The following is a 13,273-nucleotide window of genomic DNA, read 5'->3' as shown; positions in this document are numbered from 1 at the left end:
CCATGCCACCTCTGTTGCAACTACTCAATTCTGCTCTTGTAGCACAAAAGCGGCCACAGACAATACTTAAGTGAGTGATGTGGCTGTGTTCCATTAGAACATTATTTACAAAAATAGGCAGTGGACTGGACTTGTCCTTTAGCCACAGTTTACTGACACCTGCTAGAGAGAATGAAGGACTGTCTTCAAAAGACTTGCCCCATCTCTCTGGCATGAATAACCGAAAGGGATAAAGTGTACGCAAGCCAGCCTCTCCCTACCCAAAATTGCTTCCTGAAAGATCTTGCCTGCACATAACATAAAGCATGAATGCCTTGGCACCTGACTTTCATCTTTTAAAATGTGTTCCAAGGAACTGTCCAGAAACAACACATTATATTAATATCGGAAAGCTTTAGAAACTGGATCATCATTCAGCATTTCAGTCTGTTTTAGAGGAGAATACCAGAAGCCTACCTCTGTTACTCGTCACCATGTACTGTGTCGGCCTCCATTGGACTAGAGTATAAGCTCTGAGAGAGCTGAAACTTTATCTTCACTTTCTAGAAAGGTGCCTGGCAAAAGGAAGGTGCTCAAAAATATTTTCTTGAATAAAAGAAAGTCTATGAAATCAACAACTCCCTTCCCGGCCTTGAGATTTCTAGATTTACCTTCAGAGCCTAGTAGCCAACCATGCCTCCCTCCTCTCCGTTACTACAGCGTTGGGACTGTAGGAACAGAAAAGAGACTCCAGGAGGGAGGCTCAGGGTCAGCAGATGTCTACCATGACCACCACACTTGGGCTGATGATAAGGACAGACTTCCTTTCAGTCTCTCAGCTCCTGTACTTTGCTGTTTGGACCCTCAAGGACCACTCAGCTCTCCAGACACCTAAGTGAAAGTTGGAAGTGGAAACAAACACCAGGGAACTGAGATCAAACAAAGCAGAGAGCGTAGGGCTGTTGATGGAAAGAGCTGGCTCCATGGGACAGGCAGACTTTAGTATCAGAAAGGCCAGCAAGGTAGGTGGGAGTTGGGGGGAAAGGAGGTGGAAAGCAAGACTTCCCGTTGTGTAATGAATTCATTAGAACAGAAGCAATGTAAGTGTCCATCGACAGATGAATACAGAAAATGTGACATCTGTGCACAGTGGGAAACTACTCGGCCAAATACTGCAAGACCCCACTTACATGAGCAAGCCACAACAGTCAAACTCATAGAAACAGAGTAAAATGGTAGTGCCAAAGGCTGGGAGAGGGGAAGACATATCTCTTGGTGTATCTTACAGTTTGCAAGATGAATACATTCTAGAGATCTGCTACACAGCGTCATGCCTGTAGTTAGCAATACAGTATTACTCAAAGGTTTGTTAAGAGGGTAGATGTCTCATTAAGTGTTCTTACCAACAATAATAAACAAAAAGCCATTATTGCTTTTTGTTTATGTGCAGTTTGCAAGTTAGAAAGGAGAAAAACTAGAACTGAGTTCTGAAAATCTGATTAGCAAGAGAATTTATGTAAGATATAATCTGCGATGATGAACTAAATTAGTACGAGGTCATTTTGCAGCTTAAGTCTTTAACAATAGGCACAATTTATGAACACTATTCCCTACAAGGGAGAGGTTTAGGAGCAGATGCAATTATGTTAAATGTGTTTTACAACTTGGAGTTACACAAGGTATGAGGTTAAGGGGTTACATTCCTAATGGGTAAAGATAGGCTCTGGGGTAAAACACTGGATAATAGGAGTGCCCTCATCTCTTGAAATCAAATTTCAGAAAAACGTGGCAGGAGGATCAGTAACTTATGATAGATAACAGAATATAGCCAAATGTGATATGGTATGAGGACATCCATCCTGGTTGTCAGTTGACAGGGCTGCTTGATTAGCTCACTAAGTTGTAAATGTTCTCTCCACTTCAGCTTACACCCAGGAAGGTCATGTACAGCATAGCACCTGAATCAAAGTAGGTTCAGGTCCAAGAATGTTGCATGCTCACTGCATCAGGTCTGGAATGGAGATCCAGGAGAGAGGAAAGTCATAACTGAGCATGTCAGTCAGGGTGCTCCAGAGAAACAGAACCAACAGGGTGTGTGTGTGTGTGTGTGTGTGTGTGTGTGTGTGTGTGAGAGAGAGAGAGAGAGACAGAGAGAGAGAGACAGAGAGACACACACAGAGAGAGATTTATTTTAAGGAGTTGGCTCATGAGATTGGGACGCCTACAGTCAGTTTTTTTTCTGCTAAGGTCTTCACCTGATTGGAAGAGGCTCACCCACATTATAGCGAGTGCTCTTCTTTACTCAAAGTTCACCCATTTCAGTGTCTATCTCATCTAAAATAGAGCTTCACAGATACATCTAGAATAATGTTTGACCCAATACCTGCACCCTATAGCCCATCCAAGCTGACACATGAAATGAACCATCACATTGAGTCATCCACCAGCAGCGTCCTAGACAGAGGTCGTTTATTGGTGTTTCCAGAGCTTCCCTAGTTTTCTTTCTTTCAGAGGCTGCCGGAGTCTTCTCCTTAATACTGTGAGCCCCTCCAGTACCCTGTAAATATTCCAATAAGAACTTGGAGTTGGTTTCTCCTTCTGAAATGAAAAGAGAAGGGAAAAGAAAAGGAGAATAACAACATTCTTAAGGGACAGAGGAACAGTAAATAAGCCAAACCCAAACTAAGCCAGACCCAGCATGTTATTCCCCAATATTTGTGCTAAGTGATGTCATGTCAAGTTATACCTTTGCCACAACCTTGCCTGGAATGCTAAGTGTAGCTTTTCTTTACCCAAATGCCCTGTGGTTCTTTGTTAAGGCCGTGAATAGTCATGTTGTAAGTCTCCAGTGAGCTACTGAAATTGTATATTTTCTTTTATTTTTTCCATGGCCAAAAGCATTTTATTAACTTGTGTCAGTGAAAAGCTTGTGAATGGTGCCCCAGAGGGTCCCTCCAAACCTGAAGGATGGCTTTGGGATTTGTTCTTATCTGGATTAACAGCAATTGTACTTCCCAAGCTCGGACCTTTTCTAAAATTGAGCAAGAACAGAGCTGGCTTTTCTGCAAACACACTGAGGACTAGGATCCGACAGAAGTCATTATTTACAACCCTCTCTAGCCTGCAAAGTCACACACAGATACTTCACCCTGAATGGAATAATTAATCAATTATAGGAAATCATTTGTTGAGAAGAAAGATGGTCTAAAAAAAAAACCAAGTAATTTCAGCAGGAAAAAAAAAGCTCTAAATTTTTTTAAGGAAATTACTTGCCATCTCTAACCCTAGAATAGTGAGAGCAAATAAAGCTGAGATGGCAAGAGCCCAGAGGTATCTTCCAGACTCATGACCAGGCATAGGCTTGTTAATATAGACTCTTAGCAATTCTTGGGGAACTTCAAGGTTGTGATACAAAGAATTTAGCCCATGTTCATATTGAGTCCTATTATAGAGCTGAACTCACCAATAAATTAACTTAAATCTAATAAAATGGCCATACTTAAAAACGCTTTCTATCATGAGGTGATCAGGTTGACATCTTCAGTGATTAGTCATATTAATAACATTATGTTAATAATCACATTAACATAATGTGATAAAAAAAGGTCACTATGATCTTCCTTCCAAAAACCTGTAACTCCTGTTTTTAACTATGAGAAAAACATCAAACACAAATTAAGGGACAATTTACAAAATAAGATAGCTAAAAAGAATCCTTGTCTATTTTTGTCTGGAAGCCTGGAGGGACGTACAACAGAATGTTACAAGTGGTCAACTTTACCTGCTGGTAGGATTGTTGAGAAGTGGTGACTTGCTTTTTCCTTTGGACATTAATCTGTTATTTAGGTTTTCCAAAGTGTATTTTTTTGTATTTTTTAAAAAACTTATTCATAAAAATTAATTCTTTCTTGAATGTAGTCAAAACGTCCATATGGCCAGTAAGAGAAGATACAACATGCTCCTTTGGAGGAAAAAATAACCCAGGCCAACAGCCTCTTCTTTGAGACCTTCTTCACTTCAAAGCCTGTGAAAACAGCCCTTCTGAAAAATGGTGTCACTAATGCTATCAAAACTCTGAGATTGCCAAAACTACCTCTAGGAGGCACATAGTACAGCACGAGGGCTGTAAATGCTAAGACATAATATTGAATAACTATTTGAATCTTCAAGTAAGATAGGTATTATGGCCTCCAATATGGAAATGTAATTACAGAATGCATAAGTAGCTTGCACAAGGTCAAATAATGACTCAATGCAAGAGCTAGACATAAAATTTTCCTTACCACTTCCCATTTCTCTGCTAAAACACATTTTTTATAAATAACTTACAAAGCATTCGAAATTCCCTAGAAAATCAATATTCATGGTTGTGTTACTCTCAACTTTTTTGCAGTTTCTATTTTCTAACTTTTAAATAAAGATAAGAGGAATATTTTGCCAAGGTTCAGCCTGGTTATTTTTTTCTTCAAATACTGTTAACTAAAGTATAACCTCATATGTGACTAAAATGGACCTCCATGCTCTTTATTAGCTGTTGAATTACTTTTGAAAAATGCCTGAAACTGTCACTGAGTGATAAGTTGAGGCCCAGTGAAATCCCAAAGATCCCTCACTTGTGTGTGTGTGTGTGTGTGCACACGCACATGTGTGTATATGTGTGTGTAAAATATATTCTATCATTTTTATTTGATTTTGAGATATGTATATCCTCTTCAAGTGTTTTATGTGTATGTGTGTATGTCAAAAATTACATTAAAATTAATTTAAAGCCTACACTACATAGTATAATAAGAAATATCCTAGATGTTACAAAGCAAAGTCAAGAATGACTGACGCTCTCCCCTTATGAGCAAAATTAACAATGGAGGAGAAATCAGAGAAATCCTGGGTCATTGTCTTGGTCCATTTTATGCTACTATAACAGAATACCTGAGACTGTGTAATTTATAAAAAACAAATATTTATTTCTCACAGTTCTGGAGGCTGGGAAGTCCAAGGTCAAGGGCCCACATCTGGTGAAGGCCTTCTTGGTGTGTCATCCCATGGTGGAGGGTGGAAGGGCAAGAGAACACGTGAAAGAAGAGGAAGGAGGGCTGAATTCATCCTCTTATCGGGAGCCCACTCCTGTGATAACAGCATAAATCCATTCATGAGAACAGAGCCCTCATGAGCCAGTCACTTATTAAAGATCCCACTTCTCAACACCATTGCATTGGGGATTAAGTTTCCAACACATGAATTTTGGGAGACACATTCAAGCCATAGAAGTAGTAAATAAGAATACAAAATTCTCATCTATCAGACAACAGCACAAGAAGACAGGAAACAGAAACCAGCCTGGAATAAAGAAAGCAATATTCATCGAAGTGATTGTTATGTGGGATTATTTTAATACACACTGGGACTATTCGTATATTTCATGAATGCTGATAAAAAGAAACTCCCTTTGCAGTAATAACAGTACATTCTCTAGTATATTATGGCTTACAAAACACTTTTAAATTTACAATGGATAAGATAGCAAGAGCTGGGTTCTCTTGGGTCTCCCCACACTAGCTACCAATCCTTGCACCAAGCTTAGAAAATCCAGCTACAGATCCAATTTCTCCATCAAAAAAGGGCAGAGAACCCCCTGTGTCTCAGGATCCTGTAGGGGGTAAGTGGGGTGACACGGAGCTGTACGGGCATAATCATGTTTAGTCAAAGCCCTTAATTCTCACAACCTTCCTGGGAGAGGCATTAGTGTTCACATCTCTGACTTGCAGATGAGGACACTGAGACTCAGAAAGGTTTAGTGATGTAGCCACGGACACAAAATACACATCTGGAGAAGAGAATCTGCATTTTCCGTTTCTTCTTCAAATACTTTTTCCAGGGCTTACAGCATTCACACTAAGTGAATTTACCACCATTTGGGATTAGAAAACAGCCTATTTATGGGTGGATCATCTGAGCTCAAGAATTCAAGACCAGCCTGGGTAACATGGCAAATCCCCGCCGCTACCAGAAATACGAAGAATTAGCTGGGCGTGGTGGCATGGGCCTGTAGTCCCAGCTACTTGGGAGGCTGCGGTGGGACAAACACCTGAGCCTGGGAGGCAGAGGTTGCAGTGAACTGAGATCGTGCCACTGCACTCCAGCAGGGGTGACAGAGTGAGACCCCATCTAAAGAGACCCCATCTTAAAAAAAAAAAAAAAAAAGAGAGAAAACAGCCTATTTAGAGAAGAAAAGAAAATGGTTCCCAAAACTCTGTTTAGAAGTCAGCCCTCACTTGGGGGAATGGAACTGGGGCTTAGAAAATCCAGCCTGGGTCCCAGGTCACACTCACCAGAGTTGCATCCCACATAAGTCCAACAATCCTTCTCTTCTCCATTTTGTTTGTTTGTTTTTGTTTTCCTTGGTACATCTTACTCCTACTGTTATTGTGAGATGCAAATAAGATTATTCATTCAACAATTCTCATCCTATCTACTGAGTATGTACATCTACATAGAACATCTACATAGTACATCTATATCACCAGTGGGTGATGCCTGACATTTATCCTCAGCATCTAGGGCTGGAGGGGCTGGACACTCCCATGCATGCATGCACACACGTGTGCACACACATATGCACACACAAAGTATTTACAAGATAAAGCAAATGTCAGAAAAGATCACTGGCCATGTGCCATCTATATGCTATATACATTTTTCATTCTCTGTTTAGTCATCATTGGCTACTCTTCATTTAGGTAGCAGTTGTGAGAAATTAAATGTATCTATGTTCTAGAATTATGGGGAGAAAATAACTGTTGAATGCTTCTTCTGTGCCCACCATGGTTTTAGGTGCTGGGAATACCTAGTGGGCAAGATGGATTAGGTTTCTCCCCTCATGGAGCTGACATTCTAGTCAGTGGAGAAAAACAATAAGCCAGCAGACAGATAAATGAGGAATTTCAGATGAGGATAGAGTGCTATAAAGACAGTAAGACAGAGCAGGCCCCTTGAAAAGCTGATTCCAGAATAAGAAGAAGTTAACTACGCGAGGATCTGGAAGAGACAGTTCTCGGCAGTGGTGTTGTAGGACTTTCTTGTTAGCCTAGCTAAAAAGAGCGTCCTTGTCACATAACCACGAAAGATTAGGCTCACAGACACTTTGAAGGGTGGGGAAAATGGAATTTATTAGGCAAAAAGGAAAAAAAGGAAACAGGGACTTTCAGCAAAGCAAGAGTCCTGCTAGCCGGTTTCCCGCGTCACAGATTGAATCCCAGATTCCACCCGGGAAGAGGTCAGGCTCCTCTCCCCTGTAAAGGGCGTGAACTTCTGTGGCTCCACCCCATCTTCCGGTGTGCAGGTAGTCAGAGTTTCTCTGCGGACCCCTTTATGCTTGGCTGTCTCAGTGGGAGTGGCTAACACAAAGTCCCAAGGGGAAGAATTGGCTTGTCCTGCTAGAGGAACCTCAGAAAGGCCAGTGTGGCCAGAGGAGCCAAGAGGGAGGAGCTCACAACTGGGCAGGACCCCCATCATGCAGGGTCTGGTAGGCCATGTGTGCTAGGGGTTGCATTTGGCTGCCCATGAAGACACCAACCACAAGGACTTTATTTAATAGAAATTTGTTTCCCACACAACAAAAAAGTCTGGACGAGGAGTCCACAGCTCTGAAGCGCCTCCATGGACCCTCAGATTCCCACATGCCTTTGACCTTCCTGCTCTGTCACCTTTAGCTTGTGATTTTCATGCCTTTGATTGCCTCACAGTTGCGATATGATTGTTCTACCTTTGGCCTTCTGTCTGAATTCAAGGTGGTACAAATGATGTCACCAGGAGGAAGGGGTGTCCCCATATTAAGAATGTAAATTTTCCCCAAAACACCCCAGCAGATTTCCATGGTCAAAACTGTGTCACTTGGCTACCCCTAGCTACAAGGGAAGCTGAAAAATAAATGTCTTTTTTTTGCGAAGTTCACTACCTTCTTAACAGTATTTCCTTCATTAGAAATGCTATTGAGTAGACAGATTATTCCACACTGTAATGAGTAGCTTGGATTGTATTCTAGAGGAGAAGCTATTTGCCGATAGGTGGGAAATCAAGAGTTCTTTGAAGATGTAAAATTAACTTGGCTGTCACACTGTCAGGAGCAGAATGTACCTGAATCACGTAGCACCCAAATATAATACGTTAGTGGCAGTGAATCTGTACAGGTCTGCAGCAACCTCAATTCTTGCCTCTTCAGAAGGAAGAATTCAACTGAGGGGTATAAAGCAGAAAGAGAGACTGAGGCAACTTTAAAGGAGGAGTGAAAGTTTATTAAAAAGCTTTAGATCTGGAACAAAAGGAAAGTACACTTGGAAGATGGCCAAGCAGGTAACTTTAGAGATCAAGTGCACGGTTTGACCTTTGACTTAGGGTTTTATACATTGGCATACTTCTGGAGTCTTGCATCCCTTGATTCTTCAGGGATCAGTCTTATCCCCTGATTCTTCCCTTGGGGTAGGCTGTCCACATGCACAGTGACTTGCCAGCGCTTGGAAAGTGAGCAGGGGCAGTGTGTTTATTGGAAGTGTACACATGCTCACTTGAGGCAATCTTCCCTTACCAGCCTCATGTTCCTAGAAGGTCATATACCAGTCAAACGTTGCCATTTTGCCTCTCGATGTGTGGCAAAGAGATCTTACCAGGAAGCTGCTGACCACCACTTTCAGGTTTTTTCTATCTACTGGGAGACTGCCTTTCCCTGGCACTGACTGCAACCAATTATTATTTTAGAGAAACAGTGTAACAACTTCCTGACCATCACCTGATGGTCACACAACATTTCTGGTGGTGTGGGTTGTGGGGGAAGAGTCCTCTCCTGCCCTGCTCAGGCCGACTAGCTACCTACTGTAAGACAACCAGAGTTTCCCAATCAGTACAAACCTGGAGAACAGGTCACAGGCAAAGAGACACAACCTGTCAGACCTCAGGGCAGTCCAGGGGCCACCAGGGCCCCTCTGGAGCTCTGCTCCTTCCTGTGAAGGCTTTCTCCCCCACCCCCCAGGGTTCCTTACCAATAGCATTTGTTATTGAGTCTAAGATGCTGTGGCTCGTAACATGCAACTTTGTTTTAGGTACCACTAAGGGTAAAAACACTACCAATTAAATGATACCACAATGTGCTCTTTCAACTTAAAATTTTCATTTTATACTTCCAAGAAATAATTCTTTAGGCTTAAGACATACGACATAAGTTTTTAACTATATAGCACTTTTGCACATACATAAAAAGGAAGTTACTCATGAAATTAATCAGTTAGGTATCCTTAAACCTTTAAGAACGTGAGTGATGTGCTATCTCTTTAAAGAGTAACCCAGTATTAATTTCAGGATTCTCTTCTAAACTGCTGGCACCCACTTGGAAGTTTGGATGTGAATGCAAGACAATGGCAAGCATATCATGACTGCAGCCTGGCCAACAATTATCCTATTACCGGTGTTGAAATGTGTGTATGGAGTGGGGAATGCAAGACCAATGTATGCTATGTGCATCTCCATGTGTGCCCTGATGCACAGAGTTGCGCAGCACTGAGTTAGACAACAAATAGAGAAGCCAAGGTGGCGGTGGTGAGTTTGGAGTTCAGTGGAGGGGCAGAAAGAGAGAAATTAAGTTGCAGATGTGGCACCCATAAGCGTCTGCAGGTGGTGGTGGTGGTGAGTCTGGAGTTCAGGGGAGGAGCAGAAATAGAGAAATGAGGTTGCAGATTTGGCACCTGTAAGCATCTGCATGATAGTCGTCCACAGGCTGCATGTGACTATCTATGGGAAGTCTAGATAGAGAAGAAGGCCAATGCTGAGCCTTGCGATACTCAAATGTTTATAAATCTAGAAGAGGGCGAACTGCCAAGCTGACAGAGTGAGCAGCCAGGGTGGCCAGAGAACTGGAGGGTAAGGCAGTGATGTGGCACCTCCGGAGCAAAGGAGGAGGGGGACGGCCAGCTGCATCAAGTGCTGCTAAGAGCTCAAATAGAATGAAAGTAGAAAATGACCATTGGATCTGGCAGCACATAGGTTATAAGTGACTTCCACAAAAGGACCTCCCATGGTTGAGGGCAGTGCAGCAGAACTTGATGAAAACCAGACAAACTGGACTGGAGGGAGTGACAAGAGATGAGGAGCTCAGCCTCCCTGAACAGTTTTGTTGTCAAAGGGAAAAGTACAGCCAAGCGAGGGGTGGTGTTTCCTTCGCTAAAGAGATTAGGCCTGTCTGAATGCGAATCCAGCAAGGCATTGCGGAAGTTAACAGCAGTTGCAAAACACTGGGGCAGGCGGGAAGAACACGATCCAAGGCACGAGAGCCAGGGGTCAGCCACGGCAACAGGAAGATGATGGTGAAAACCAAAAGTTTCTGAGAGTGGTCTCAATTTAGGAAGTTTATTTTGCCAAGGTTAAGGACGTGCATTGACACAACCTCAGGAGGTTCTGATGACATGTGCCCAGGGTGGCCAGGAAACATCTTGGTTTTATACATTTGAGGGAGACATGAGACATCAATCAATACGTAAGATGTAGGTTGGCTCTTTAGGAGGTAAAATGTGAAGTGGAGGCGTCCGGGTCATAGGTACATTTAAAGGTTTTCTGATTGGCAACTGGTTGAGAGTTATCATCTAAAGACCTGGACTCAGTAGAAGGGAATGTCCGGGTTGCATGAAGGAGTTGTGGAGACCAAGGTGTTATCATGCAGATGAAGCCGGGAATACACTGCAAATGTTTCTTATCAGAGTCCTCTATTAGTCTTAGGGTCTCCGTGCGGATGTTTGTGAGGCCATGTTTGACTTCCGCTTCCCATCAAGGCCTGAACTAGTTTTTCAAGATAACTTAGAAGGCCACAGGCGGAGGGGAGGGTCCATCCGTTGGCTGCAGGGCTTAGAATTTTATTTTTGGTTCATAACGAGGAGGGCAGGGACAGAAGCCACCGTCTCTGCTCCCCAGCGCTGGCCCTCACTCGGAAAGCAGGCTCTCCCCTCGCATCGTCTTTTAACAAATTCCTGCTCTCTCGGCCCCCGTCGCTGCCATCTGGGCTCTCCTTTCCGCGCTTCATTAGGCGCTGCCGCGGCAGGGGCTGAGGGCCTCAGGGGACGGTCGCCTCCCTGCCGGGACGCCCCGGCCCTGGCCCGCACTGTGGGGCGCAGTCACCCAGCCGTCGCCGCGTAGCCAGGAGCCCGGCTGAGCGCGTTCGCTGCAGGAGCCATCCTCAGCTGGGCCCTACTTAACTTTCCGCAACTCCAGTCCCCGCAGCCAGTCGGGGACCCCGCCTCCCTCTCCTTCCTTCTCCCTCTCACTTCTTCACCCCTTCTCTCCCCTCCCTCCTCCGCCCCCGCCCCCGCCCCCGCCCCCGCCCCCGGCCACAGCATCCGACGTGGCGCGGCCGGCTGCGCACGCACCGTATGCTTGGCTCGCGGCCCAGCAGGGCGGGCGGGCCGCGGTGACGTCAGTGCGCATGCCGTCGGTGGGCTCGGCTGCGCCACGTCGGCGCGCGGCGGCCGCGCCCCCTTAACGGCAGTGGCACTCACCCGGCTCGCGCGGCCCCGGCGCCCCACGCGCGCGCGTCGTTCTCCCGCCCGCTCGCTCCCCGGCGCTCACACCTGAGCTCACTCGCGCACGCCCGCCCGGCCCGAGAACCGCGCCGCCGCCTCGGCCCCGCGGAAGCCCCGCCGCGTCATGTCTTCGCCTCCCGAAGGGAAACTAGAGACTAAAGCTGGACACCCGCCCGCCGGTACTGACTCTTTTCCTCTCTCTCCACGCGCGGGTGCCGGGGGCGGGCTCGAACCCGGGGGCGCCGGGCGGGGGCTCCGCGGGGAGGGCCCCGGCGAGCGCTGAGACGGGTTCCGGGCCTTGATGCCCGCCCGAGGGGCGCGGGCCGCGGAGAGGTCGGGCGCCCAGGCCCGGGAGGAGCCCGCCGGAGCTTCGGCCCCGCTTGCCGGCGGCGGCGAAGCGTTTCTTCCTGAGGACCGCGGGCGGCCGCGTACCTGTGCGATTGCGCGCAGGCTCCGGTGCCTTGGGCGAACCCAGTTGCACAACTTATAACAAAGTTTTGGCGGATAATATTTACTTAGAGGATACAGATGTCTAGAAAGAAAGTAGCAGAAGCAATGAAAAGTCAGTGGTGTTAATATCATGGTGATGATTAATTAGAGGCTGCCAGCGTTTCATACCGACTCAAGAACCAAGGAGCGGAAATAATTTTTATCATTAATCACTCAATATGACTTTCACCGCCAGTTTCTTCCACATCCAGATTTTTTTTTTCCCCCAAAGTTGCTTTTTCTGATTTTGAGCAAATCCTAAACTTCTGAGCCAAGGAAGTTAAAGCCAGGAAAGAGCGGTCTTTCTTAGAACATAGGGATCTAAGCAGCCTTCATGCTTCTGCCACCTCCTCCTCTCTCTGGGCACAGTTCCTGTTTGCACTTTGGATTCTGTCCAGACGGGTCTGTTTCCGTTTCTACTCTCCTTTCCAGTGGCAGTCGGCCCATATGGAGGGACACTGGTGAGAAGATCAAAGGCCTTGGGTCTCAGAAGCCAAGTCACTTCAATGTATGGATGCGTGAGGTTCTTTTAGGTCTTAATAGCACGCCTTAGTGTCATAAACTCAGTCTTGTAGGAACAGAAGTCTTTGAGAAACATGGCTTCTTTTGGTGGCACATTTGCGCCATTTTCTTGACAATAAAGATTCCTGGCCAGGCGCGGTGGCTCATGCCTGTAACCCCAGCAGTTTGGGAGGCCAAGGAGGGTGGATCACTTGAGGTCAGGAGTTCAAGACTAGCCTGGATAACATGGTGAAACCCCATCTCTACTAAAAGTAGAAAAATTAGCTGGGCATGGTGGCGGGCGCCTGTAATCCCAGCTATTCAGGAGGCCGAGGCAGGAGAATGGCTTGAACCCGGGAGGCAGAAGTTGTAGTGAGCCAAGATTGAGCCAAAGCACTCCAGCCTTGGCGACAAAGCGAGCGAGACTCCATCTCAAAAAAAAAAAAAAAAAAAAAAAAGATTCCCATTATCCTTCTCTGCTGTCCTCCGCTATAGGGCGGGAATTCTCTGCACCAGCACAATGAATAGGAGCCGTTCTTTAAATATGTTGCAGTCCAGAGTAGGCAATATTTTTCAGTGGTGACGGAGGCTCTCTACAACAAAACTAACTGGCACTGGGAAAGAAAAATGTCTAACTGATGCCAGAGAACTTAAGAGGCATGGGGTTTTAGAAAATCATTCCACTGTGATGGAAAATGGTTTTGGGGGAATTTGTGTTGCATTGGTTTTAAGAAAAAAAGTACTTCAAA

General features: G+C 45.3%; 1 protein-coding gene and 1 long non-coding RNA gene across 3 annotated transcripts in view, besides 3 other annotated features; one reads left to right on the top strand and one right to left on the bottom strand.

Moving 5' to 3' along the window:
• Positions 1-2,431: 2,431 nt before the first annotated feature.
• On the bottom strand, positions 2,432-11,691 carry DAP-DT (DAP divergent transcript). Its single transcript, NR_187555.1, has 3 exons — positions 11,511-11,691; positions 4,952-5,103; positions 2,432-2,577 (listed from the first exon to the last, which is right to left on the bottom strand). It is a non-coding gene; the product is annotated as a DAP divergent transcript (long non-coding RNA).
• Positions 10,590-11,435: an enhancer, noted in NCBI's record as "H3K27ac hESC enhancer chr5:10761404-10762249 (GRCh37/hg19 assembly coordinates)". NCBI's record gives its function as "activates a minimal SCP1, AML or CMV promoter by ChIP-STARR-seq in naive H9 embryonic stem cells {active_cell/tissue: H9 hESC(naive)}" and the evidence as "EXISTENCE:reporter gene assay evidence [ECO:0000049][PMID:30033119]".
• Positions 10,958-11,427: a silencer, noted in NCBI's record as "silent region_15931". NCBI's record gives its function as "represses an Ori minimal core promoter by ATAC-STARR-seq in GM12878 lymphoblastoid cells {active_cell/tissue: GM12878}" and the evidence as "EXISTENCE:reporter gene assay evidence [ECO:0000049][PMID:35858748]".
• DAP (death associated protein) overlaps positions 11,493-13,273 on the top strand; it is an 82,005-nt gene continuing 80,224 nt past the window's right edge. For both annotated transcript variants that reach the window (NM_001291963.2, NM_004394.3), the window contains exon 1: positions 11,493-11,713. In NM_001291963.2, the coding sequence (NP_001278892.1) occupies positions 11,659-11,713 (55 nt within the window). In that variant the 5' untranslated portion in view covers positions 11,493-11,658. The remainder of the gene's footprint in view (positions 11,714-13,273) is intronic.
• Positions 11,508-11,937: a silencer, noted in NCBI's record as "silent region_15930". NCBI's record gives its function as "represses an Ori minimal core promoter by ATAC-STARR-seq in GM12878 lymphoblastoid cells {active_cell/tissue: GM12878}" and the evidence as "EXISTENCE:reporter gene assay evidence [ECO:0000049][PMID:35858748]".

Source organism: Homo sapiens, chromosome 5, assembly GCF_000001405.40.
Source record: "Homo sapiens chromosome 5, GRCh38.p14 Primary Assembly".
Classification (NCBI taxonomy): domain Eukaryota; kingdom Metazoa; phylum Chordata; class Mammalia; order Primates; family Hominidae; genus Homo; species Homo sapiens.
Note: the sequence above shows the minus strand (reverse complement) of the source record. Positions and strands in the feature narration are given on the sequence as shown.